The 27,661-nt window shown below is 46.2% G+C and overlaps 1 protein-coding gene and 1 long non-coding RNA gene across 8 annotated transcripts in view, besides 3 other annotated features; one reads left to right on the top strand and one right to left on the bottom strand.

The window, feature by feature from the left end:
• Positions 1-27,661, top strand: part of SLC13A4 (solute carrier family 13 member 4) — a 46,956-nt gene that overhangs the window by 17,655 nt on the left and 1,640 nt on the right. The window contains exons 3-15 of one of the 5 annotated variants that reach the window (NM_012450.4): positions 2,282-2,418; positions 4,232-4,404; positions 4,882-4,936; positions 7,651-7,687; positions 8,772-8,852; positions 10,984-11,168; positions 15,045-15,164; positions 16,294-16,395; positions 18,108-18,209; positions 18,887-18,984; positions 19,207-19,331; positions 24,849-25,010; positions 26,271-26,408. In NM_012450.4, the coding sequence (NP_036582.2) occupies positions 2,282-2,418; positions 4,232-4,404; positions 4,882-4,936; positions 7,651-7,687; positions 8,772-8,852; positions 10,984-11,168; positions 15,045-15,164; positions 16,294-16,395; positions 18,108-18,209; positions 18,887-18,984; positions 19,207-19,331; positions 24,849-25,010; positions 26,271-26,408 (1,515 nt within the window). Of the gene's footprint in view, positions 1-2,281; positions 2,419-3,490; positions 3,932-4,231; positions 4,405-4,881; positions 4,937-7,647; positions 7,688-8,771; positions 8,853-10,983; positions 11,169-15,044; positions 15,165-16,293; positions 16,396-18,107; positions 18,210-18,886; positions 18,985-19,206; positions 19,332-24,848; positions 25,011-26,270; positions 26,409-27,661 lie in introns of those variants that run through there. The other 4 variants (NM_001318192.2, XM_017011962.2, XM_047420184.1 and 1 more) reach the window with 4 other exon arrangements.
• On the bottom strand, positions 1,936-23,521 carry LOC105375521 (uncharacterized). 3 transcript variants are annotated; one of them, XR_928021.3, is made up of 5 exons: positions 23,210-23,521; positions 21,504-21,628; positions 18,774-18,961; positions 4,060-10,314; positions 1,936-3,497 (listed from the first exon to the last, which is right to left on the bottom strand). It is a non-coding gene; the product is annotated as an uncharacterized LOC105375521 (long non-coding RNA). The 3 variants fall into 3 exon arrangements; XR_007060541.1 differs by lacking the exons at positions 4,060-10,314; positions 21,504-21,628; positions 23,210-23,521 and having other exon boundaries at positions 18,774-18,893; XR_007060542.1 differs by lacking the exons at positions 4,060-10,314; positions 18,774-18,961; positions 21,504-21,628; positions 23,210-23,521 and adding an exon at positions 3,618-3,702.
• Positions 6,137-6,431: an enhancer, noted in NCBI's record as "tiled region #13285; K562 Activating DNase matched - State 12:CtcfO". NCBI's record gives its function as "activates a minimal TATA promoter and a strong SV40 promoter by Sharpr-MPRA in K562 cells {active_cell/tissue: K562}" and the evidence as "EXISTENCE:reporter gene assay evidence [ECO:0000049][PMID:27701403]".
• Positions 12,408-13,121: an enhancer, noted in NCBI's record as "NANOG-H3K4me1 hESC enhancer chr7:135382159-135382872 (GRCh37/hg19 assembly coordinates)". NCBI's record gives its function as "activates a minimal SCP1, AML or CMV promoter by ChIP-STARR-seq in primed H9 embryonic stem cells {active_cell/tissue: H9 hESC(primed)}" and the evidence as "EXISTENCE:reporter gene assay evidence [ECO:0000049][PMID:30033119]".
• Positions 13,122-13,835: an enhancer, noted in NCBI's record as "H3K4me1 hESC enhancer chr7:135381445-135382158 (GRCh37/hg19 assembly coordinates)". NCBI's record gives its function as "activates a minimal SCP1, AML or CMV promoter by ChIP-STARR-seq in primed H9 embryonic stem cells {active_cell/tissue: H9 hESC(primed)}" and the evidence as "EXISTENCE:reporter gene assay evidence [ECO:0000049][PMID:30033119]".

Below are 27,661 nucleotides of genomic sequence, written 5' to 3'. Positions count from 1 at the left end.
CTTCTTCTGTCATTAAGCTCCATTCCCATATGATATTCTTATATTAGTCCTTGAGTTCTCACTTTAAGCGGCTATCAGTTGACTTCTTGTTATAGCAGATGAAGATTTTTTCTTTTTGTTTTTTGTTTTCTTTTTTGAGACGTAGTCTCGCTCTGTCGCCCAGGCTGGAGTGCAGTGGCGCGATCTCGGCTTACTGCAAGCTCTGCCTCCCGGGAAGATTTTTTCTTTTACATCCCCCACTTCGCCTTCTACCATCCTCCCAATATGCTCAATCACAATTTTTGTTAATTCAATAATCAAAATTAGTATGATCATGTACATATTATTTCAAATGCTATGTATTTTACTATGTATTTCCTTTCCTGTTGAATTTTTATTTTTGCTGCAGTTAAAAATGTTCTTGTTTTCTCACTTTAAGAGGGTTTTTCAATTAGAAGTTAGACTTTTCTATAGCTTTTCCTCTCAATTTCTGTATGGTTCCTCCAGTTGGAAGCAATTCTCATGTATGTGACAAATATTTATTGAGCATCTACTTTTGCATATTATTCTACTAGGTGTTAAGATATATAGAAGGGAACCATTCACAGCCGAAAAATTTAGTTGAGAGACAAGAGAAGTACACATACAAAAATAAACAAACAACAGTACAATCAGGAAGCAATCATTCAAGCATTGCTCCAAGTGCTCTGTGGTGTGCGGAATTAATGGTGCCCAGGAGGAATATTCTGGAATCAGAGGCTAGGGCCACAAGAAAGGTTTTTTCTAGAGGATGCCAGGCCTGAACTGGGCTTCAAAGTCTGATTGGAATGTACAGGCAGAGATGGAAAGAGAGAATGTTCCAAGTGAGAGAATCAACAAAGATTTGGTCCATGAACCTCAAACATGCGAAACATCTTTTTAACTGCCCTATGTCTCAACTTCCCCATCATTAAATTAAAAAGTAGAAAGGAGTTTATAACTGGTACTGTGGCCACTAAGGAAGAGAAAATCCCTACTCGTAGAAAATATACCCTGAGCCTGGGAGGTTGAGGCTGCAGTGAGCTGTGATCATGCCACTGCACTCCAGCCTGGGTGACAGAGTGAGACCCTGTCTCAAATTTTTTTTTAAAAAAAAAAGAAAGAAAGGAAAATATACACTGAAGTATTTAGGGGTAAAGGACCAGCCAAAATGTGTGTAACTTACCCTCAAATGGTTCAGGGAAAAAAAAAAAGAGTGTATAGGTATTCCTTGTACTATTTTCATTTTTGGAATTCATTGGAACTTGAGAATTATTGGGAATTATTTAAATTTTTAAAATTAAGGCCGGGTGCGCTGGCTCATGCTTCTGATCCCCGCAATTTGGGAGGCCGAGGTAGGAGGATCACGAGGTCAGGAGATTGAGACCATCCTGGCTAACACAGTGAAACCCCATCTCTACTAAAAATACAAAAAAAATTAGCCAGGCATGGTGGCAGGCACCTGTGGTCCCAGCTACTCGGGAGGCTGAGGCAGGAGAATGGCGTGAACCCAGGAAGCGGAGTTTGCAGTGAGCCGAGATCGCACCACTGCACTCCAGCCTGGGCGACAGAGCGAGACTCCATCTCACAAAAAAAAAAAAAAAAAAAAAAAAAAAATTGAGCAAGACTCTGTCTCAAAGAAAAACAATAATGAGGATATGATGTTAAATGAAAAAAAGGCAAGATATAAAAGTATACATACTGTATAAATGCATTTATCTATATAGGTATAGGAAAAATGGAAGAAACTATAAGTATTTACAGTAGCATGATTAAGGGTAATTTTGTCTTTAACTTTTTTTATATTTTGAAGTTTTCCATACTGAGTATGTATTAATTTTCTAATAGAAATGAAATGAAAATAATTTTCTAATATTTTCTAAAAACATTAAAAATTAGGTTTGGGGAGAAACCTAGGGTTATTTTAAAAGATCAATATAAAATTATATGTGTTTATTCTTTAAAATCATATTCACATCATATTTAAATACAGTGGTTTTATGTTTTCCAAAGTGGAGAAGAACATCTATCCTATAGAGTTATGGGCCAGATTGAATGAAATAATCTGTCAAGTACTTAGCACAGTGCCTGCCCACAATGAACGCTCAGTAGATGTGACTCTAGGATGGGCGGCTATTTCAATAATCCTCACCCCCCTGCCTCCCCTTCGCCAGCCTCTTTGATTGAGAACAGGTTTTATTGGGTATGGCCCATTCTCCCAGCTGGTGCTGGGCCCTGGGTCTTTGGTCCGGGAGGGTGACTGACATGCCTGGCCTCCCTACAGGTGGCGGCGGAGTACTTCAAGAACACCACGCTGCTGCTGGTGGGGGTCATCTGCGTGGCGGCTGCCGTGGAGAAGTGGAACCTGCATAAGCGCATTGCTCTGCGCATGGTCTTGATGGCCGGAGCCAAGCCGGGCATGTAAGTCTTATTTGGGATGCCAGGACATAGGGCATCCTTCTAGCTCCCAGTGTGCCACCAGGACAGTGGTCTCAGGTCACTGCGGGATGTCCACTTCAGCTGTTTTTTTACCAAAGGGTCGGGCTGACACCAGAGCCATAGGACCCGTCCAGGGAGAGGGCCTGTGATCATGGAGTAGAGATTTAAACCTGTGACCTTGCTATCATTATCCAAAGAATTTACCCATTGACCTAGGCTGCAAGGGCAGCAGCTTACAACATATAGGGGCCCATCAGGTAAAACAGGATGGACCAAGAGAAATTGTTTCCCAACCTGTTTCCTGTGTATCAGGGAACAGGCTGGACCGGAAGTGGCTGTCTTCTCCTTTGTCACTGAAGGAGACGGGAATGTTTCCTCCCATCCACCCTGAGTTTTTGTCATCAGTTCAGACCACAGACCCAGTTAGAGACACTGCATTTGACTGTGATGCGGGAGGGAGTCCCACCCTCGGGGAATGTGTTACGGTGTCAAGGTTGAGTTTTGTGTTAGCTTCAGCAATGTTCCATTTGGATTCCCCTGCCTGTACCTTCCCTTTTGGAATATCCTGCTCACCTCCTTCTAGTTTACAACTTTCTTGCTGTATTTTATGTAAGCTGCCCTGACTCCTATGGGAGTCAACACGAGTATAAATAAATAATATAGTATTGGTTCTCAGTATGAGTCATTTAGATGACTATAGGTTATGCTTAAAAGCATGTTCCTGTCTCCCAGATTGTCAAACAGGTCTGATAACTACAGCTTAATCCACCCCCTAACTCAGTAATAATCTTGCCCCTACACTCAACCTCCCAGGCACACAGTGGCATTTCGTCACATCATATGGAGACTCTGTGGCTCTTTAAAATCTCTGTGTACTATCTGCAAGAATTTTTATCCTCTCACATTTCCACTCCTCCCTATTTACATCAGTCAGCAAGTTGCCACCCCCAGAGGCAGTTACCCGTGTAGGTACAGAATTGGCAAAGTCAAGTCGCTGTCAGCCAATGGAGTCCACATGATAAACGTACTGTCCCCAAGTTGTGCAAAGTCAGTGATTCCACCTAAAATAATAAACACAGTAGTCTTTATGTTGGCTTATCTTATGGAAACTAGGACATGTCTGTACAGGCACACATTGCACAACGTTCTCAAAGCCAAAGAGAAATAATTAGAGGGTTAACCTTGTTAGTGTTTTTCTCCAAGTGTTGACGCTTTAAGATGTCAGCTGGAAAAGTGCACACAGTGACACGGGACACTTCTGTGACTTTGGGGGCTATGCCTTCAGCATGTTGACAGGTAGTGGGTGGAACTGTGAGCTCCAAACATTCATCTCTATTGGGTCACTGATATCTATGGTGACTTGGCGGCAAAGCAAGGAGTGCCGTGGCGCTCACAGAATTGCTGGCTGCGAGGGCAAACAAAGTATTGCCTTCCACACACAAACACACATCACCGCCAAGCTCCAGCCAATGTCCGTGGAGACAGAAAAACAATGGTAAGTCTACACCCTGTGGCCCTACTACCAGAGCTATTCTTTGCTTCACTAAGGACTTTTTTCTGGCTAAGGCCGCTAGTCCATGAAGTGTGATTCATTCATTCAAGAAGTATTGCTTTAATACTTACGCTGTGCCAAGCATTGGGAGTACAGAGCTGAATGGCACCCTGCAGGACAAATGCCTGCCTTTCCAGCCACAGCTGTCTAGACCAGCCCCAGCAGGTTGGTAGGAGGCCCACTGTGGAGCCGCAGGGATGTGTGTTCCGTGGACGCTCTGCCCCAACCCTCCCTGCCTTCCAGGCTGCTGCTCTGCTTCATGTGCTGTACCACGTTGCTGTCCATGTGGCTGTCCAACACCTCCACCACCGCCATGGTGATGCCCATCGTGGAGGCCGTGCTGCAGGAGCTGGTCAGTGCTGAGGACGAGCAGCTCGTGGCGGGCAACTCCAACACCGAAGAGGCCGAACCCATCAGTACAGTTTGCTGGAGTTCATCTCTCCTTTGCTCCTCCAACCTCCCCTGGGGTCCTCCTGCCTGGCTCCTCTAGGGAGACTGCCCAACTTTGTGCCCACCCCAGGACCCCCTCAGCCATGCCCCCACATTCCCCTTCCTCTTCCCTCTCTCCTCTTTCCCATCCCAGCTCTTGGACTCTGAAGCTTCCCTGAACTCCCTGTTCTGGCTCTTCCTTCCTCCTTCACTTCTGGGCTCTTTTCCCCCAAATGCTCAAGGGTACACACTGCTCTTTGCCCCCAAATGCTCAAGGATCACTGCAAAACCCTGGGGCCAGTCTGCATCCATGAGCCCCATTCTATTTACAGAGCAAAGGGAAGGAGAAATGTCACCCACTCCATATGGCCCACCTCCGCCCTAAGCCCTTGAGCTATGCTCCAACCCACAGGGTCAGCCCCAGCCTCCACCTCTCACATACTGCTTTTCTTTGCTACTCATAGGTCTGGATGTAAAGAACAGCCAACCTTCTCTGGAACTCATCTTTGTCAATGAAGAGTGAGTATGACTGCCCTCTCCCAGACAGCGCCTCTCAGAGTCCATAGGGGAGGTCAGAAAAGAGGGGACCTAGACCCATAAACAGCTCTTTGAGATGTACCACCCAAGCTCACCACCTTGCCACACCACCCCCCCACCCCGCCCAACCTCCCCCATTTCCTCTCCATACCTAGGAGTGACCTGTCAGGACCTGGAGAGTCACTCCCTTAACCACAGTGTTGCAGTGATGAGGAAGAAATAAAAAGGCCACACTGAATCTCAGTGGATATATGAACTGTCCACACAGCCACCATGCAGAATCTCTTCTAAATTCATGTCCCTTTTAGGAAAATAGTATGTTTAATTTGTTAACGGAAAACCGTTCACATCTCGATGCCACTGCAGATTCTTGGAGAATCATGAAATATTTTCTAGATATTAGATAAGGTCTTGGTAGATTTGGTCTTGTTAGATATGGCAAAGAAAACTTAGGTGACAGGTAGGGGATGAGGGGACAGGAGGTGAGAGGGCCTTGTGATGATGGGAAGCAGAGCTGGAAAAGGAGAAGCAGCCTCAGACATTCCTGGAGGAAGCTCTATTAACAGCTGATTCCATTTGGAGATTCTATTTCAAAATGTGGCCCACAGGCATGCCACAATGAATAGTCCACATTTAAAAGCTGGATTTGTAATACAGCTCAGCTCTGTCATTTGCCCTTGTTGTAAAAAAGGAGAACGCACATTGGGTGAAATCAGCGTTCACAGTGGGACAGACGTGGAAGGGTGCCATCAGGAAATCGCTTTATTTTTCTCCACCACTATCTTCAATCATAGCATATTGGATTTCTTGATGACATCACCCTTGATGATATCCCAGGCAAATCCCGTAGCTCTCCTGGTTCCTTTCAGGTATTATAACAATCTCATGTTCAGACATTTGGGAGACTAGTCCAAATTCAAATCAAAACTTCAACTTCTCAGCCAAAGCTTCTCCCATACCCACCCACCCCTCACCCTAGGCCTGCAGAAGAAAGAAGGTGAAAGTAAGTCGGGGGAGGGAGTTGAGCTTCTTTCTGTCTTCCTCCACCTCCCTCTTCTCCTCCTCCCCTAACCGCACCCTCACTCTGCTGCTTCTGACTTTTCTGGGCTTAGGACAGCAGCTCTAGGGTACAGGAAAGATAAATGGGTGAGAAGGGTCTGGATGGGGGCTATTGAGGTCTGGGGTTGGTGCCCTCTCTGAGATTTCAGTCCCTGGCTCTTTCATCTGTGGGGCAACTGCCTTCAGGGTCTTTGGAGCATCCCATTATGGCGCCCTCTGCAGGGCCTCAGGCCTGATGGCAGGGCCTTGCTCTGGGATTAACACTCACGCCACCCTCCAGGGCCTGTGCTCTGGTGGTTAACTCCCCCACAACCCCTGTATTGGGGCTGCCTCTGCCTCTGGGCAGGCCTGTCCCAGGTGACCCAGGAAAAGGCCATCCTCACTGTGGCCTTTTCTCCTCCCTGTGGCCTCTCTGGCATCACCCTACTGGCTTCTTGCCTTTGCTCTTTTCCACACAAAAATGTATCCCCAAACTCCAAAAGAAAAGCCTGAGTTGTCCCTAGAACTCTAAGCATCTTTTGTGCTGGTGGGAACTGGGTCATTTGCTGGGTGTGCAGACAGCACTCTTGCGGCCACCACCTCCCATGCTACCTGAGGATCCTCGCCTACCCTCCTCACCCAGTTTGGGAAGAAGGGAAGGGAAACATCACAGCACATTCTCCTCCCAGGCTAAGAACTCACTCCAAAGAACACTTCCCTCTGCACGCCTGTCAGCTTCTTATCCTTCCCTGACAGAGCCTGAAGAGGGACCATGGCCGCAGGACCCACATCCCGCATGTGTGTGCCCAATACGCTCTCTGTCTTCACAGTGGCTGAGCTGGTGGCTCCCACTGTCCTCGCAACTAAGACAAACTGGAAACATTCACTGATCACTCAGTGTGTCAGTTACACTGATGGCTAAGTTCTCATCTTCTTCTGTCCTCAAGGCAAAGGTTGGGGACCAGCAGGGGTGGGAGAGACTCACCCCCTGAGGTGTACTTGCTGATCAGAAGTCCTCCCCCTCCGCCACCCTCTCCCTCTCCCTTGACTTTCCCTGAGTACAATCCAGGCCCTCCCTGCTCCTGTCACCTCCGATACGCATATCACAAGTTCCCCTTTCTAGATAGTGGTCTTCCCAGAGTCAGTCAGTGAGAACATGAGAGTCAGCCAGTGAGAACATGAGAGTCAGCCAGTGAGAACATGGTCAGGGGGCATAGGCTTTCCAGAGAGACAGACTCCTGGACTCCTACCCTCCTCTGCCACTTAGCATCCCCGTGCTAAGTACTGGTGTAAATGGAGGTATGAATGCCAGGACCATAGATCTGTGATGAGGATTAACAATGTCTGGGGGTTAAAGCCCATATATGTGCACTCTGTATCTAATATCCACTCCACATCTGCTGTTAGGACGATTGTTAATATCAAAGGAAAGTGCTGCCCCTGCCCTCAGAAGGAAGCAGGCCCCTGGCCCCACTAATCCTTACAGCATCTCAGAAGGCAAGGAAGACAAGGGAGAGATTAGTCTTCTCTGGAGACTAGAAAACTGGAATCCAGAGAGTTTAAGTCCCTTACACCAAACGCCTGATGCAGGGGGACCTCCCCTCCCAAGAGTCGGCCTCACTGACGTGGCTCCTGTGTCCTCTGCTTGGTTCCAGCAGGTCCAACGCAGACCTCACCACTCTGATGCACAACGAGGTATGGCCTTGGGGTTTTTCTGTGCTTTGGAATCACTTGAAAATCCCTCAGCACTTCTTCATGGAAACCCAAGATTCAGAACCAGATTTTCAACAGCTACAGATCCACCTTAGAGTTCCTTTCAGTGAGGATTCCATTGACAAAATGTTATTATTAAAAAGGACACATTGGCTGGGCGTGGTGGCTCATGCCTGTACTCCCAGCACTTTGGGAGGCCACAGCAGGAGGACCACTTGAGGCCAGGAGTTCAAGACCAGCCTGGCCAACATGGTGAAACCCCGCCTGTACTAAAAATACAAAAATTAGCTGGGAGTGGTGATGGGCACCGGTAATCCCCACTACTTGGGAGGCTGAGGCTGGAGAATCACTTGAACCTGGGAGGCAGAGGTTGCAGTGAGCCCAGATCGTGCCACTGCACTTCAGCCTGGGCAACAGAGCGAGACCCCCATCTCAAAAAATAAAAATAAATAAAAATAAAAAGAACACATTTACAGGGGAAAGCAGAGTTTACCTGCACACAGTTACTCGAACTTATTTCACCTCCCCCAAATCTGGTTATACATCTTTTCATGAGAAGTATAAAAGGCCAATTAAACATTGGACTTCAGCTGGGTACAATGATGTGCACCTGTACTTCCAGCTACTGGGGAGGCTGAGGCAGGAGGATCGCTGTGGCCCAGGAGTTTGACCCCAGCCTGGACAACACAGTGAGACCCTGTCTCTAAAACAAACAAAAAACTGTGGACTTGCTTGTGATTATTTTTTTTTTATTTTCTTTTTTTTCATCTTATATATAAAGGGTTCTTCATTAGCTAATAAAGTCCCAGAAAGGCTGGCTCTCCTCTAAGGGCAGAGCCATGTTCTGCCTAGTTTCAAAGCCTCTTCAAGTGGAGAACTTGACACCAGGCTGGGCGGGGCAGGCCTGGCTGAGGTGCCCTGGTGTATATGCTCCCCCTGGCTTCTGGCCTCTGGTTCCCACAGTGCTGAGGCATGGGGTGGCCCTGGGATGACTAGGTGGTCCTTCTCGAGGCACCTGGCTCACCACTTCCTCTTCCTAATAGTGAGATGGCCTTTGTCCCAACAGAACCTGAATGGTGTGCCCTCGATCACCAACCCCATCAAAACTGCAAACCAACACCAGGGCAAGAAGCAACACCCATCCCAGGTAATAGAACGGCCCCTTCTAGCTCTGTTTCCTACATGAAACGCTGTGAACTGCTTCCCAAGGGCACTGGTCTTGAAGTCGTAAGGGAATCAGGCTAGTGAGCTGTCACCAGGCACTCATTACTCTCATACATGTCTGGCCTGTGTGCGCCATGGAGGTGAGACATCAAGCTCACTTGACTGTAGCAAGACAGTCCACTGCCTGAGCCCCAGTGTCTTCAACGATAAAAGCTGGGGTTTGGTGTAGATCAGAGGTCCTCAAACTAGTCTTCAAAGGTGCTTCAGGGACACTGCAAATATTTTATTTGAGTATCCTAAGATTGTAAGGCACCTGCTTTTCTGAACTAATAATTGTCTTCCTGGCACGATTCCTCTGAAACAAAATGCAGAAGTCGAATGAATGTTGAGGCTTGTATAAAATAGCAACTGTCACTTACGACCGTTGATTTCAAATGTCTGTGTTCATCAAAACAGTCTCACTTGTTTAATATCCATCATCATAAATAACTGCCACCATTTATTAAATGCTTATTATGTATCAATCATTGCACTCAGCATTTTTTCTATGGTCTTGGCTCAATGAGGTAGCGATTTTGAGCTCCATTTTTGCAAACAAGGCAGAGATGAAATCATAACCCAAGACCAAGGAACTAGATAGGGGAGCATTCTGATTCAAATCCAAGTCTCCTTGACCACATGCAATTAACCCATCAATATACTTCCAATTACAAAATTGGATGCATGCCAGCCAGGTGCGGTGGTTCAGCACTTTGGGAGACCAAGACAGGAGGATACTTGAGCTCAGGAATTCAAGACCAGCCTGGGAAACACAGCCAGATCTCGTCTCTACTAAAAATAAAAGTAAAATCATTAGCTGGCATGGTGGTGCATGCCTGTAGTCCCAGCTACTCAGGAGGCTGAGGTAGGAGGATCACTTGAGCCCAGGAGGTCAGGGCTGCAGTGAGCTATGATGGCACCACTGCACTCTAGCCTGGGCAACAGAGTGAAACCCTGCCTCAAAAAAATAAGGATGTATCCAATTGCTACACTTAAACTATTCTGTGTAAAATTTCAGTAGAAGAAAGGATTGTGGAAAACCACTGGACCAAAGAATCTTTGAGGTCTCTTCCAGCTCTGTTAATCAATGGATCTTTTAGAGGTCTGGAGGGTCAGCCATACTTCGGCCCCACTAGGAAGATGGGGCAGTGGGAAAGGGCTTTGAGAGATGTGGCAAGGTGGCGCTTCCCCATTGGTTCTTTCATGACCTGACTTGCTGACAATTGCACCAGGACTTTCCTAGTCTCATGAAGAATCAGTGAAGGTGGCCAGGTGTGAAGGGAACAGGAGGGACTTGCTTCTTCAGGAAACACTTGAGACCAGAGTTCAGCAACCTCTCTGACCCTGAAAGGCCGTCATCTGGACCAAGCAGGCTCAGAGAGGACCACAACTAAACTGAAGTTTATCTGCAAGGGGGAAGAAAAAAGTAGAGAGGAAAAGTCAGGCAAGGAGAAAAGAATGAGGAAGGGAAGGAGGAAATAATCACACTTCAACCCTCTTCCCAATGAAGACTAGGGTTTTTATGTAATCCAGGTGTATTTTTTAGTCATCTCTCCATCAGGGTTTGATGGACTTGAATGGCCAGATTTGAGAGATATTCAGAGGTAGCTTGATGGGTCTTGGTAGGATTAGAAAGGGCCTGAGGGGAAGGCCAAATCCTGTCATTCTAACTCTACAGGAATAACATCTGTTTGTTATTCAAACACAATGTAGAGTGACACCAGTTTTACAGGAGTTCAAATAAAAACCCATGCTGTCAATAATAACATTAATCACAAAAATAATAATAGCCTACCATTCATTAAATGCCAGGAAGTGTTCTAAGCGCTTTACATATATTACTTCATTTACTCTTCACAACAATTCAGCAGAGAAAATATGGTTTCCACCATTTTACAAAGAAGAAACTGCAGCTCAGATGCATGCCCAAGTTGACAAATGGTAGAAACTGTGATTTGTCTTTCTGACACCCAAGCTCAAACCCTTTCCGCTGTACCATGGTGCCTCCTGCCTCTCATGCTTCGGCCAGACAGCCCAAGCTGGGTTGGACAGATTTGCTGATTTTCCTTCGTTAGGAAAAGCCACAAGTCCTGACCCCCAGCCCCAGGAAGCAGAAGCTGAACAGAAAGTACAGGTCCCACCATGACCAGATGATCTGCAAGTGCCTCTCCCTGAGCATATCCTACTCCGCTACCATTGGCGGCCTGACCACCATCATCGGCACCTCCACCAGCCTCATCTTCCTGGAACACTTCAACAAGTAAGTGATTCACTTGGTCAACAAATATTTACTAACCACCACTGTGTGTCAGGAACTGGACTAGGTGCTAGAGATATGGTAGAAAATGAGAATAGAAGAGTTTCCGTAGAAAGAGGGAAAAACAGGCTGAGCACAGTGGCTCATATCTGTAATAAGGCACATTGGGAGGGCAAAGCGGGGGGATTGCTTGAGCCTAGGAGTTCAAAAACAGCCTGGGCAACATAGTGAGACCCTGTCTCTAGAAAACATTTAAAAATTAGCTGAGCATGGTGACACGCACCTGTATACAGTCCCAGCTACTCAGGAGGTTGAGACAGAATTGTGGAGCCCAGGAATTTGAGGTTACGGTGAGCCATGATCCTGCCACTGAACCCGAGCCTGAGCGATAGAGCAAGACAGTGTCTCTATTTAAAAAACAAAAACAAAAAAAAGGCCGGGCGCAGTGGCTCATGCCTGTAATCCCAGCGCTTTGGGAGGCCAAGGCAGGCGCATCACGAGGTCAGGATCCCTAGACCAGCCTGACCAACATGGTGAAACTCCGTCTCTACTAAAAATACAAAAATGAGCTGGGTGTGGTGGTGCACACCTGTAATCCCAGCTACTCAGGAGGCTGAGGTAGGAGAATCACTTGAACCTGGGAAGCAGAGGTTGCAGTGAGCCAAGATCATGCCACTGCACTCCAGCCTGGGCAACAGGGCAAGACTCCATCTCAAAAAAAAAAAAAAAAAAGTCCCAGCACGGTGGCTCACACCTGTAATCCCAGCACTCTGGGAGGCCAAGGTGGGCAGATCACTTGAGGTCAGGAGTTCAAGACCAGCCTGGCCAACATGGTGAAACCCCATCTCTACTAAAAATACAAAAGTTAACCAGCCATGGTGGCAGGCGCCTGTAATCCCCGCTACTTAGGAGGCTGAGGCAGGAGAATCACTTGACCCCAGGAGACAGAGGTTGCAGTGAGCCAAGATCGTGACACTGCACTCCAGCCTGGGCAACAGAGCAAGACTCCGCTTCAAAAAAAAAAAAAAAAAAGAGTCCCAGCACGGTGGCTCACACCTGTAATCCCAGCACTCTGGGAGGCCAAGGCAGGCGGATCACTTGAGGTCAGGAGTTCGAGACCAGCCTGGCCAACATGGTGAAACCCCATCTCTACTAAACATACAAAAGTTAACCAGGCATGGTAGCAGGTGCCTGTAATCCCAGCTACTTAGGAGGCTGAGGCAGGAGAATCGCTTGAGCCTAGGAGGCAGAGGTTGCAGTGAGCTGAGATCGCACCACAGCACTCCAGCCTGGGTGACAAAGCAAGACTCCATCTCAAAAAATAAATAGATAAATAAAAATTTAAAAAAGGAAAAAAAGGGGGAAATCAAGTCATTATAGCTAAGTGAGACTGGAGAAGTCCAGGACTCTGCAGGGAGAGCCCTGCTGGGAGAGCTCGCCCATTTGCAGGGAGGAAATGCCTCCCTGAAGAGGCGACCATGTGGAAACCTGAAGGACGGGAGTAAGCTAGATTAAGAGAGATTAGCCAGACAAAGAAAGCAGTATGTAGGAGGGCTCCGAGGCAGGACAGCGGAGCACATAAAAGAAAACGACAGAGGGTAAGAGGAGGCCAGGGAGCTGGATGGGCAGATCTTCAGGGCTTGGCAAGACCCACTGAGGAACTTGGACTGCATCTGAAAGGCTCTGAGATGCTTTTAAAGAATTTTAAGCAGGGAGTGAGATGGTCAGATTTATAGTTTTGAAAACTCATTCTGGATGAAAAAGAAAAAAAAAAAAAAAAGGAGAACAGATTGGAAAGGAGAAACCAGACAGCAGGAAGGCAATTCAGGACACTGCTGCAAAGTTGTCCAGGGCAGCCGGTGGCTTGGCTGACAGTGCAGTGGGGAGGAGGAACAGTCAGGTTTAAGGGAAACTCAGAGGTCACTTGCTGGGTCTCAGGAAGGTTAGAAAGGGCCTGAGAGAGGGAAAGGCCGTGTCTGCCTCTCAGGCTCCTGCCCTCAGCATGTGAAGGAATAGAGGGGAAAGAGGAAGTATGGGGTGTTGGAAAAAGTGGCATAGAGGCTGAGATGTCCAGGTGAAAACAGACCTGTGAATGTCAAGGCAAATATTAATGCTTAGGCTGAAGGCATAGATTTGAAGAGAGCGGCCTGCAGCGCTGGGGTCATGGGCGTGCCGCCTGTACAGGGACACAGGGCCACCATGCCCAGACAGGCGTCACGCTTGGTTTAATGCTCTGCTGTCCCTGCCTGGATATTCATAATAACCTTTGGGTAAAGGGGCCACATATTCATTTTGCCTCCTGGTAAGGGAAGCTACGGGAGTGGAGGAAATTACCTAGAATATACAGGGTAAGGAGAACAGAGGACATAAATATTAAGCTCACATATTTAACGGACAGAAGGAAACAATATCAGACAGCAGAGAGGGAAGGGAAATCTGGTGCCACTCTACCCAAGGGAGGAAAGTATTTCAAGAAAAAGGAAGTGCCTACAATATTTAATGTCAATGAATGATGATGCAAAGTAAGGATGAAAACGTATCCATTAGATTTGGTGATGTGGAGGTTACTGGTGATGTAGGCAAGAGGACCTTGGTCAAGAGGTGGGAGAAGCAGCCAGATTCTGGTGAGTTGAGGACTAAGGTAGAGGTGAGAAAATGGAGAGCTGGCTGTGAAGGGAAGGAGAGATGTGGGGTGATAATAAAAGGAAAGTAGGGGACGGGCACTGTGGCTCATGCCCGTAATCCCAGCATTTTGGGAGGCGAAGGCAGGCAGATCATCTGAGGTCAGGAGTTCAAAACCAGCCTGGCCAACATGGCGAAACCCCGTCTCTACTAAAAATACAAAAATTAGCTGGGCATGGTAGTGTGCTCCTGTATGTAATCCCAGCTACTTGGGAGGCTGAGGCAGCAGAATTGCTTGAACCCAGAAGGCGGAAGTTGCAGTGAGCTGAGATCATACCACTGCACTCCAGCCTAAGCGACAGAGCAAGACTCCGTCTCAAAAAAAAATAAAAATAAAAAAATAAAAGGAAAGTAGAGCAGGGTCAAGACGGAGTTTTCAAGATGGGAGACATTTAGATGCTGGTAGGGATGATCCAGATGAGAGGGAAGTTAAAGATCTGGGAGAAGGGATCACTGATAGAGGGATGTCTCACAACTTGAGGAGTTTTACGCCCAGCCCCAAAAACAGAGACCCAAGGAAAACACAGCATAGGTCATTTAGGCCTGAGCCTCGTCTAGGCAAAAGCCACAGCTCTCGCGTGGTCCATCCAGGCTCCCCAGGAAACAGCACTTGGGCTGAGGGGCCACAGCTCTGCCTGCTGATGAATGAGCAGTTCCCCATACAAATCCCCTCTACCCTGAGACCAGTGGATGTTGATAAAGATTTGGAGATTCCAAGTCCTGGTTCTCTTATGGGCACCGTTAATATCTAAAAACTTCATTAAGCCCTAAAGCTCCAGATTCTCCAGAATTGTGTCCCCCAATCAAAACTTACATTCCTTTGGTGATTTTAGAAACAAAGTATACCAAGCTGTTCCATTTTCTGTTGCCTTGAAAACCAGATGAATAAACTTAGCAGAATCTTTAAGGGCAAACACGTCCTGAGTCATTCTCTTGAGTGCAAAGTATATACACTTTAATGATATTAATTTTAGTTGTTTTGATTCCTTTTTTTAGCTAGTTTCATGATTCTTGTCTGGGCTCTGTACAATTGCAACTGTCAACTAAATGAGTCCTAGGCAACGTTTTACCATATCGTTATCATTATCTCCCCACTTAGCCCAGCTGTATGTTTTAGGGAGCATTTGGCATACTACCCCAAAATACCATATGGAAACCCTCCCTTTCTAATTGCTGACCTGGTTCTTTACCCTCCAGCCAGTATCCAGCCGCAGAGGTGGTGAACTTTGGCACCTGGTTCCTCTTCAGCTTCCCCATATCCCTCATCATGCTGGTGGTCAGCTGGTTCTGGATGCACTGGCTGTTCCTGGGCTGCAAGTGAGTTCCAGGGCCCTTTCAGCAAAGCACTGAAGCCCCCCTGTTGATCCAAAGGCCATGGCATGGGCCCTGGATGGCTCTGTGCAAGGGGGACTGCCAAGTAACCACAGAGGATGCCCAAGGAGAATGCAGTGGTCTGGTCTGAGAGTCAGGTGCTGTCTCTTCTAGACATTCTAAACATTTGTGAACTCTGCACTTCACTCTCAGCTCTACAACGAAATGTTCTTAATTCCAACTAAATGGTTAGAGAGCCTGTCCAGTTTATACAAAGTCTGAGGTGAAGAGTATTTAATGTCGTTTTATTGCTCTCAAAGCATACAGAGCACTTCCAATTACTCCAAGAAATAGGAAATAAAAAATATGACTCTAAGTAGAATTTGCATTAGGTTTAACTTTATAGGCATGGGTGATTTATACTTAGTAGCCTGAATAAAATATGCTCATATGCCTCAAAATAACAAGTCAGTCTACTCCAAATTTGATCAGTTTCAAACACATAAGGGAAGATAATATAATGTTTTGCTATTAGTCCATGTAACCCAATGCTCCCATTGGTCAAGAAATGTTCTCTGACTTTTCTTTTTACTCAGACTGTTGTCAAACCAATGATAACTATATACTTCTTAACTCCAGTATTGCTAACATAAAACTAACACTGTGTGTTCCATATACGCAGATGTTTGTGTGTTTGTTTGGCTAGAGACAAAGCTTCTCTGGAGTAAAAATGTTAGTTATACATCTAGACACATAGTGGAATAAAAGTTTTAGTTTATACATCTAGACACATATACCACATTACACTGATTATTTTACTTACGTAAAAGACAAGTAGGTAGAAATGACCCCACACGAATACACTTGCACAAGTCCCTGAGACATCACTTCACACCAATACACCAGAGACAGACCCAGATGGATATCCCCAGTAGGCTAGGGGAGAAGGTTGATGAGAGGCCGGATAACTTGGCAGATAAAAGCCATATGAATAGGTGGGGGATAGAGGGATAGAGCATGTGAAAGAGGAGAAAAGTGACCACAGCAGGCAAGCGGTTTAGTATTTACCTAATATTTGATCTCTGGGCCTCAGAAGTGTGTTTTCTTTAATCATTTGCTCATTCTCCCTTCTCAGTTTTAAAGAGACCTGCTCTCTGAGCAAGAAGAAGAAGACCAAAAGGGAACAGTTGTCAGAGAAGAGGATCCAAGAAGAATATGAAAAACTGGGAGACATTAGGTAAAAATCAGCCATTCCTCTTCCCTCCTTCTCCAGCAGAAACACAGCAGGTAAAGTGAGCACAGGAGCAGCCCTGTTCCTGACAATCCCTGACACTGGGAGAATTTTCCACAACTCTGAATCAGGCCTTTAGAAGATGCTATTTAGTGCCAAAGCCAAGCTGGCCCAGATTTCAGGTGGCCACCCTTCCCCTTTGCTCTATTCAGAGTCCAGGGTATAGCCATGGCATGGGGTGGAGTGCTGACCATGGAGCAGACAGAGGCAGAAGAAGGGAAAGACAGCACAGCCACCCTCTTGGAAAATGTGAATTCCTTCCAAAGCCAGGCCACCTCTCATTGCTCAGACGCGCCACCACAGTGGTGCGGTTATCACTCCCAGGGAGATGGGAGACTCTGTGCTATATTTAGGGTATAAGGCAGTATCAAAGACAGACTTGGAGAGAGAGCGTCCAAGAAATCACTAACCAACCCTCAGCCACTTCCATCAGCTTTTCCACAGGGACCCAGCTTCCTATTTAGTGCTATTTCTCCTTTTATGGCAATTGGCACATACAACTTTGCATAAAACAATCCAGGTAGACACTGTCTTATTTAAAGCTTTAAGTTATAAAAGGAATACATGTTCATTGTAGAACATTTCAAAAATACAAGACAGTATAAGAAAAAAAATCAAAATTGACTGGATTCTTAGCACCCCATGTTAACACTTCTTTCCATGCTTTTTTGTGCAAAACTCTTATGTATTTTTGGTAAAATTCAGTCCACACTGAAACTGTTGTATACCTTGCCTTTCTCAACTCAACTTTGTACTCTCAGTACAGTATGTTCCACATCCTTAACTCTGCTGTGGAAATGGGATTATCAATGGATGCATCTCATTTTAACACAGAGTTGTATCAAAATGTATTCAGTGTCATGAAATACCATTGGATATAGAGGATGCTTCCATTTTTTAATAGGTAATTAATGTCTCAGTATGCATTTCTGGTTAGATGATGGGAATGACCAACTATTTTTTTTTTTTTTTTTTTTTTTTTGGGATGGAGTCTCACCCTTTTGCCCAGTCTGGAGTGCAGTGGCACAATCTTGGCTCGCTGAAACCTCCACCTCCTGGGTTCAAGCGATTCTCCTGCCTCAGCCTCCCGAGTAACTGGGACTACAGGCACGTGACACCACGCCCAGCTAATTTTTTGCATTTTTAGTAGAGATGGGGTTTCACTGTGTTAGCCAGGATGGTCTCCATCTCCTGACCTCATGATCCGCCCACCTCGGCCTCCCAAAGTGCTGGGATTACGGGCGTGGGCCACCACACCCAGCCAGGGAATGACCAACTTTAAGGCTTCTAATGTGTATCATCAAATGGCCTCAAAAAGGTTGTAGCAATTCCTCCTCCCACCAGCACAGTGTTTGGGGCTGCCTATTTCACTGCACTCTCCTTGTAGGCTGTATTTGAAATTATTTTACAAATGTACAGTGCTGTGTTCTCTTGCCCTTTCTACTGAAGTTTCTCCAGGAACATGGTTAATGTCATGTTTTCTGGGGCCACTCAGTCTTCTCCTCATCTCACTGTCAGCCATTCATAGTGGTTAGGCAGTGAGTGTGTTTTATGTCTAGGGTATTGAAACTCTAAATACAGAAGCTTCCAGAAGCAAAGTGAAAAAGCTAGGAGAAATTTCTCAGTTCCTGAGTGGGTCTTTCTGTTTTATTTTATAGCTACCCAGAAATGGTGACTGGATTTTTCTTCATCCTGATGACCGTACTGTGGTTTACCCGGGAGCCTGGCTTTGTCCCTGGCTGGGATTCTTTCTTTGAAAAGTAAGTGATATCATTTCCTCCTTAAGAACAACCCCCTCACCCCAATTCTTCAGGCAAGACTTCATAGACTCTCAGGGGCAGATATGAAGCCAGGAAGATTTCATTCCCCAGGAAATCCACTCTTTTTAGGGAGGCTGCAGTGTGAAATCAGGAAGGAAAAACACTCTTTGGAGTCCCGGTCTGGGGTTGGAATCCAGTGCTGCATGTAGTCTCATTACATAAGCTCTTGGAAGCTTGGTTACCTCATAGGTGGTTATGAAAGTTAAAGGAGGAAACATCTATAAAGTACCAACTGTAAAGAAGAAATCAACTTCTCACTTGAGAAGGGAGGCACATGGAGGTGTGGCCTTCATAGGAAAGAGGTCTCATCCTCTTCTATTCTCCTTTATCTAACCAACTCCACTCCTGATCACTCCATCTAGGACTTGCCCCAATTAACGGGCTCACAAATTCACATTAAGACATCTACTCTAGCCAGGCCCTGCCTCCAGACATTCGCCATTGCCCATTAAATCCAAAGTGGATAGCGTGGCAGCAACTGGCAAGAACTAAGCTTAATGTTACCTCTAGATAAGTCCTAAAAAGAGGCACTGTGTTCGGACAGACTGCTCCGAGACATCATGTTACTCCTGAAAATTCCTGACCCTTCTCCTCAGCTATGCTTGTCTCTTTACTAGGAAAGGCTACCGTACTGATGCCACAGTCTCTGTCTTCCTTGGCTTCCTCCTCTTCCTCATTCCAGCGAAGAAGCCCTGCTTTGGGAAAAAGAATGATGGTGAGAGAAGGGAAGAAACTGGGGGTAGCTCTAGTTGAAGAATACCCAAATCAGACTAATACTCCCAAAGAGATTTACCAAGGTCCTTCAGATTCCCACCCCCCTCCCGGCCCCCGCCCCAAATAGCAGTATCCCAAATCATCCACTTCACCAATTAGGCTCCTGTCTCCACAAATCACGTCCATCAGGGTTTATCTGGCTTTACATCTCTCTCTAATCCAGGAGAGAACCAGGAGCACTCACTGGGGACCGAGCCCATCATCACGTGGAAGGACTTCCAGAAGACCATGCCCTGGGAGATTGTCATTCTGGTTGGGGGAGGCTATGCTCTGGCTTCTGGTAGCAAGGTAATTCTTGAATTCTGTTTTTTTGGGGTTTTTTTTTTTGAGACAGTCTTGCTCTGTCACCCAGGCTGGAGTGCAGTGGCACAATCTCAGCTCACTGCAACCTCCGCCTCCTGGGTTCAAGCGATTCTCTTGCCTCAGCCTCCCAAGTAGCTGGGATTACAGGCGTGCACCATGATGCCAGCTAGTTTTTGTATTTTTAGTAGAGACGCGGTTTCACCATGTTGGCCAGGCTAGTCTCAAACTCCTGACCTCAAGTGATCCACCTGCCTCGGCCTCCCAAAATGCTGGGATGACAGGCATGAGCCACTGCACCCGGCTTGAATTCTGTTCTTATGGGTCAAATACTTTTCCAGCATCTTTACCTAATGAGTCATTATGGGCATGGGAGGAAAGACTCAAAGCAGCTGAGAATGTTCACAGAGTCCCTGGGAAGGGAAACAATAGAGCAGGATGGATGTCCTCTGCTGCCCTAAGCTTCTCAGCGCTACTAGGAACAGAGGAACAGATGGGCTGTGCCACACAGTCATGACACATGGGCATTGATAGTTCATCTATGGGGCCCATGCTGCTACAAGCAAAAGGTTTATTGGAGTTTGCAGCCATCTCCTTCTGGGATTTGACAGTGGCAATAGGAGATGGTAACAGGAGATAGACATAGGTAATAGGTAATAGGAGTGGTAATAGGCGATCTCTGTAAGGGACCAGAGATGCTCCAAGTGACACATGGTGAACTGTCTGTCCACAATACATAGACTGAGCCCCTTTGGAAAATCTAGGCTAAAGCTGATGTAAATGCTTCTTGATTTTCTGACTGGGAGGATTTTGGATGAGATCTTTTAAGTGGGGTGGGGATGTGAGGGGATGATTGAATTTCCTAAAGTGTTAGCCCTCCATAAAATAGAAAACAATCTTAAGAATGAATTAGGTTAAGGTTCAGACTATTTCTCCCTCCATCTCATCTACATGCATTATCCCATGCTAAACTTGGTTCTCTTTTTTTTTTTTTTTTTTTTTTTTTTTGAGACAGAGTCTCACTCTGTCACCTAGGCTGGAGTGCAGTGGCGCCATCTCTGCTCACTGCAACCCCTGCCTCCCAGGTTCAAGCAATTCTCATGCCTCAGCCTCCCAAATAGCTGGGATCACAAGCACACGCCACCACACCCAGCTTAATTTTTGTATTTTTAGTAGAGATGGAGTTTCACCATGTTGGCCAGGCTGGTCTTGAACTCCTGGCCTCAAGTGATCCACCCACCTTGGCCTCCCAAAGTACTGGGATTACAGGCATGAGCCACTGTGCCCGGCTTGGTTCACTTTTCATGGCCCAAAATACTATCTGCATTATTAATAATAAGGTCACAGAATACTCCACTAAGGAGAACCTTAGAAAACAATGAGTCCTATCTCCTGCCCATGGTGAGATTCCCCTCCATGGCACTTCTGGCTTGGACACTTCCAGTGACAAGGTACTCCCTGGGCAGGGAACAAAGAATAATTGTTCCTTATTTTCAGCTCAGGTCTTCTGCATGTTGTCTGTCCACTGTTGGCTCTAGCTCTGTTCTCTGGGACCCTCTCCTAGATAATAATTATTAACATGAAAAAATCAAGTAGTAGTGACCCATACCATCTGGTCTCTCTCCTCAGGACTCACTACACTTGGCCTTATTCAAACATAGTCTATGGGGTGGTCAGTCTACTGCCAAGTAGAGTAGTTATATTACCCAAGCCCCATCTCTCACCTCTGATTCAAGCAGCACCCTGCATTTTTATGGAAGCTTTTATAAAGCATCCTTGGCACTCATGTCAACAATTATATTAAAACTGCAGTCAATTAGAACCCTTCATTCTTTTTAACTGTTCATCATTACTGGACCTTCACCCCATCCTATATATATGCCATCAATATTTCTCATTCCAAGTTCGGGATATTTATATTTATCTTTATTGAATTTCAGTTGTTAGTTTTGGCCTCTGACAAGATTGGCCTGGCAAGATTTTATTTTTTTTTTTAACCAAAATTGGGCTGGGCACAGTGGCTCATGTCTGTAATCCCAGCACTTTGGGAGGCCATGGCGGGAGGATTGCTTGAGTCCAGGAGTTTGAGACTAGCCTGGGCAACATAGTAAGATCCTATCTCTACAAAAACAAAAGTTAGCCCAGTGTGGTGGTGCGTACCTGTAGTCCCAGCTACTCAGGAGGTTGAAGTGAGAGGATCGCTTGAGCCCAGGAGTTCAAAGCTGCAGTGAGCCAAGATCCCACCATTGCACTCCAGCCTGGGAGACAGAGGGAGACCCTATCCCCTGCCACCAAAACAAAAAACAAGAACAAAAACAAAAAAAAAACAATAAAAACAAAATTGTGCACATATTAGAGATAGTACAGTTATTTCTGTAAAGCCTACTGCCTCTACTAATTTTAATAATAATTTAGGTAGCATATATGTGATTCCTACAGAGTTTGAAATAATTTCAGTTTTGACATTAGTGAAGAAAATCCATTGTAAAATGTTTTCATACCAAGAGTTTAAAGAATTAAGACTTCCTTTGATTGTGTTTTTGTCTAACTTTGAAGTCTAATTTATTTCAAATCATAGTATAAAATAGTTCTGCTGGAAAAATAATTGCCAATAAATTATTTCACTTTACTAGGCCGGGCATGGTGACTCACGCCTGTAATCCCAGCACTTAAGGAGGGTGAGGCAGGAGGATCACTTGAGGCCAGGAGTTTGAGGCTAGCCTGGCCAACATGGTGAAACGTTGTCTCTACTAAAAATACAAAAATTAGTTAGGCGTGGTGGCGGACACTTTTAATCCCAGCTACTTGGGAGGCTGAGGCAGGAGAATCACTTGAACCCAGGAGGAGGAGGTTGCAGTGAGCCGAGATCGTGCCACTGCATTCCAGCCTGGGTGACAAAAGCAAAACTCCAGGGACTGGGCACAGTGGATCATGCCTGTAATCCCAGCACTTGGGGAGGCCAAGGTGGGTGGATCACCTGAGATCAGGAGTTTGAGACCAGCCTGGCCAACATGGTGAAACCTCGTCTCTACTAAAAATACAAAAATTAGCCGGGTGTGGTGGCACGCGCCTGTAATCCCAGCTACTTGGGAGGCTGAGGCCAGAGAATTGCTTGAACCTGGGAGGCAGAGGTTGTGGTGAGCCGAGATCGCACCACTGCACTCCAGCCTGGGCGACAGAGTGAGACTTCCTCTCAAAAAAAAAAAAAAATTTAGCCGGGGATGGTGGCACATGCCTGTAATCCCAGCTACCCAAGAGGCTGAGGCATGAGAATCATTTGGACCCGGGAGGCAGAGGTTGCAGTGAGCTGAGATGGTGCCACTGCACTCCAGCTTGGGTGACAGAGCACAACTCTGTCTCAAAAAGAAAAAAAAAATTATTTCACTTTACTTACCAGTACTATTTGGATAACGTTAAGTAAAACTCCATCTCTTTATATAATGTACCATTTCCATTCAACTAACTGCTGTTCCTCCCCTGCCTCTGTCCAATGAGCAAGGTTTAATGTGTTACCAGAGGGAACAATTAAAGAGTTCCTGGAGGCCTTGGGGCTCTGAAACAAGCATTAATTGATGCAGTCTGCACATATTGGGTTTGTAAGCTCTCAGTGAGTTGAGAGGAAAAAAAGGAAGAAAAGTTCTACAAGGTGAAGTGGCTACAACAGAGAGAATTCTGAAGGCCTTTGGTCCTCAGTTGTCTATGAGCTTGCCAGGAGGTGGCCAGGGTACTGTAGAGATGAAATGAGCTTTTGATGAATTTGGAAGAGAGGAGAAAAAGTAACATGCTGGCAGTGTAGGGAAGGCGGTATTTAATAGTAAAACATGTGTAGCAGGACTTAAGAGCTTGAGGAATCATAAATGTCTCACCTTCCTTTCTGTCCCTGCTCTCCATATTGTCATTGCATTCGCAGTTTCTAGGGTACCATGGGAAAAGGCAGAGCCTGTCACCATAGAAGAGAGAGAGGAAGGGAGGCAGGATGCATATGGCAACCTGGAGTTTTTAATACAAAACTCAATGATACCTTTCATTTTTTAGGAGAGGGAGGTAGCCCTCCCTATTTGCAGGTGAACATCTTCCAACCAAATGAATCATTCCAAGTGGGAATATTTATTCATTTATTTTTTATTTTTTTGAGACAGAGTCTCACTCTGTCACCCAGGCTGGAGTGCAATGGCACAATCTCGGTTCACTGCAACCTCTGCCTCCCGGGTTCAAGCAATTCTCCTGCCTCTGCCTCCTGAATAGCTGGGATTACAGGCGCGTGCCACCACACCTAGCTAATTTTTGTATTTTTAGTAAAGGTGGGCTTTCACCACATTGGCCAGGCTGGTCTCAAACTCCTGACTTCAAGTGACCTACCTTCCTCAGCCTCCTAAAGTGCTGGTATTACAGGTGTGAGCTACCTCACCCAGCCAGAATGTTCATTTATTTAAGTGGATGTGTGTAACTGTTGCTAGTGGAATAAATTCAGGACGGTCAATATGCCTTCATATCTGTGTCTTCAAAAAGCACTGGCAGGCCAGGTGCGGTGGCTCACACCTATAATCCCAGCACTTTGGGAGACCAACGTGGGAGAATCGCTTAAGCCCAGGTCTGTTTGAGACAGGCCTGGGCAACATGGAAAGACTCTGTCTCTACAAATAAAAAGAGCAGGGCGTGATGGTATGTGCCTGTGGTCCCAGCTACTTGGAAGGCTGAGGTGGGAGGATTGCTTGAACCCAGGAGGTTGAGACTGCAGTGAGCTGTGATCATGCTGCTGCACTCATCCTGGACCCTGGGCAATAGAGCAAGACCCTCCTCTTAATTAAAAAAAAATTCCTGACAGATAGTAGAACTAATGTCAGCCATGATGAGATTTGAACCTAAAACAGGTTGGGGCTGAATGACCAGCCTCTATGGCACTTAAGAGGCACCTTCTCCACTAAGTGGAAATAGACTTTTATCCCCCTCTACTTTATTACTCCTGTAAAACCTCCAGTGCTCAGCCCTGCCTGTTCATCTCCTTAAAAACACAGGAAAGGCTACTATCCACAGATGTTGATAAATTTTTCCCTTTTTTAGGTAACAAAATAAACTGGTTTCAAAAGCAGATTAAATGGCTATACTTGGCACTCTGTGAAGGGCATTGTCGAATCAATGCACAGGGTAAGGATGTCAGAGGCTAGAGAAAGGGTAACGAGACTGAAGTTGAGGAGCAAAGATCTCCAACCTCTGACAAGTTGTCATGGCAAAGTCCTAAGAAGGATCATGGCAATTAGGGTGGCTCTCCATGTCCCATGACGAAACCCAAACACTGAATGTTGTGCAATCATAAAAACCAATTTTCTGAACTACAAAAATGATCGAACCATAAAAATCAGGAACACCTCTGGTTCCAGTCAGACTAAAGATCAGAGGATCCCTGGTCGTCCAGCCTTCCAACATCCCTGACCTTCTGAAGTCTAAGATCTCTAGCTGGGATGTGCTTCTTCTCCTTTCTTCTTACTGTAACACCTCTTCCTACAGAGCTCTGGCCTCTCTACATGGATTGGGAACCAGATGTTGTCCCTGAGCAGCCTCCCACCGTGGGCTGTCACCCTGCTGGCATGCATCCTCGTGTCCATTGTCACTGAGTTTGTGAGCAACCCAGCAACCATCACCATCTTCCTGCCCATCCTGTGCAGCCTGGTGAGTAATGCGGAGCTCCCAGACATCCAGACAGGCTGTCCCAGGGGCCTGGAGTGGCAGGCCTGGCTCAGGGCAGCTTCCGTAGCTGTAGGCTCTCCTCTGGTTACTGCCCACAGCCTTCACTAATTGGTGTTCAATTCCTATTTTGAAAAATGAAGTTTTTCAAATAGCAACTAGTAAATAAAAAGATACACTAATAAATCATAGCAAGAGTTCTAGAAACCTTTGTCCAAAAGAGTAGGATTAGTTTAGGGGCAGCCCTGAGTGGAAACCAAAGAACATACAAAATAATATTCAAACCCTATCATTTCAATTCCCCGCAATCATTATCAACCTTTCTCTCCTGAGATAAAACCTGAGTAGGGCCAAAGAGGTAGCCACAGAAAATGGAGGTAAAACACACACAGCTGAAAAGACTGAGCTCACAACTCAGACAATCATCACAGCCTCCACTGAGTTTCACTGTCCTCCGGGAAGTTCTGAGGATTGGGAGCAAGGTCAGCTTTGCTCCACAACCTCAGACCAATTTGTTGTGAATAGAATAAGGGAGGGGAGCAACGGCCAGATCTTAGCCTGGCCAAGCAGCCGGAAAGGTGATGCATCTGACCCAATGCTTCATCTGTCCCATTCTGGGAGGCAGAATCCAGGAAATGAAGGCCCCTCCTGACCCCAGCAACATAGTCTCCTACTGCTCTTTCTAACCCCAGAGCCATACTCTCTGCTCATTGCTCAGATGACCCCAACTTCTCCCTTCCGTCATCTTGCTCCTGCGAGCAACAGAGTGCAGTTAAAACTTGGCAACATTGAGAGCAGGACCATGGATTCAAATCCCATATAAAACAATTATCTTCCCTAGGAAAAAAAAAAAAAAAAAACCACCTTAGTTCTGTACCCTAAGACTGAGGAATCCCCACTTCAATCAAAGCAACCTATTCATGAGATTTGAGTTTAAGGAAAGGAAGTCTCAGCTAAAGAATAAAGTTTAGGAACCAATTCCTTAGAATAACACCAAAAAAATCAAACATCCCTTCTAGGGAGTAACTCAAAGCCATATTTCCATGTGGAGCAAGTAAGCAGCATCAGCCTATTCAGGTTGTCAAGGGACTGCATGCCCCAGAGGGCAGAGACCTAACTACCCCTCCACATAGTGTCCTGCTAAGGTTAGCCAGCACCAAGTCATCATTAAAGCATGCTCCTGACATTAAGCACAGGAAATGCAAGCCTAATCTCGTGAATGTTTCTGTGAATTCTCTCTTCTAGTCTGAAACGCTGCACATTAACCCCCTCTACACCCTGATCCCAGTCACCATGTGCATCTCCTTTGCAGTGATGCTGCCTGTGGGCAATCCCCCTAATGCCATCGTCTTCAGCTATGGGCACTGCCAGATCAAAGATATGGTGAGTTGGGGTGCCCTCTCCCTGCCAGGCCCAGCTGCCATGAGGACAGGGATGACAGCTCTGCAGCCTTCTTTCAAAGCTTATTTTGTAGCAGTGTCCCTGGCCTGTCAATGCTAAACCCAGTGTGGTAGCAAGAATAGCACCTATAAAAAGGTTTTTGTTGGTCTATAAGCACCAAGGATAGCAAGAATGTGCTCTCCCCAACCCTTCCCTGGAAGGAAGTGGGTACCTAGGTAGAGAAAGCTGGAACAGACAGGCTGTGGCCCAGTTCCAGAAGGCATGAGCCTGTGCAAACAAGTTTTGCCTTCGTTTCTTCATTAGGCCAGTGGAGACATTCATTGAGAAAGCTACTGGTTTATTCACAGAAGATGAGAATGAGGAAGTGTATGAACCTAGGGTGAAAGGTATTTTGAGAAAACAGGATTCTTCTGCTCAACTCACCCTCCACCCCGGCCCAGGCAAGAAACCCCTGAAGCAACAATGGAAAATGAAGCGTCCACCATTCATTTTCATTTTCAGCTGGGCTCACAAAAGATGGCTTTGAGATATTTTGCTGCTGACTTTAGCACTGGGCCTATCTACCTTCTACTCCTCTACCTATACACCTGCTGCTATACTTAGTATCCAGGGCTGAGCGGGGGGGGAGAGGATGGAAAACACTGATACGAATTACTGATGGTCTGACAATTTTTTTTCATGGGAGCCAAATTTGTTCTCGGGCAGCCCTGTAAAGTAACAAATAGAGGAAAGGAAGAAAAAGTTTCAGGCTGGTGGCAGATATTCAGGTCCTTTTTTATCCTTTTTTTTTTTTTTTTTTTTTTTTTTTTGAGACAGAATCTCACTCTCACCCAGGCTGGAGTTCAGTGGTGCGATCTCGGCTCACTGCAACCTCTGCCTCCCAGGTTCAAGTGATTCTCATGCCTCAACCTCCAGAGTACCTTGGACTACAGGTGTGCGCCTCCATGCCCAGCTAATTTTTGTATTTTTAGTAGAGATGGGGTTTCACCATGTTGGTCAGGCTGGTCTTGAACTACTGGCTTCAGATGATCTGCCTGCCTTGGCCTCCCAAAGTGCTGGCATTACAGGTGTGAGTCACTGCTCTCAGCCTATTCAGGTCCTTTCGACTGTTCGAACTGCTCATCTAAGTCATCCGTGATACTTCCTTGAATGGAGTGTCCCAGCCATCCCTCTCCCCTCCCATCTTACTGCGTAACCCTCAGTCTGCTCACGCTGAGCTCTACCCCAGCTCTCCT

Source organism: Homo sapiens, chromosome 7 (assembly GCF_000001405.40).
Source record: "Homo sapiens chromosome 7, GRCh38.p14 Primary Assembly".
NCBI classification, from domain to species: domain Eukaryota; kingdom Metazoa; phylum Chordata; class Mammalia; order Primates; family Hominidae; genus Homo; species Homo sapiens.
The sequence above is the reverse complement of the archived record's forward strand: the minus strand, read 5'-3'. Positions and strand labels throughout refer to the sequence as shown.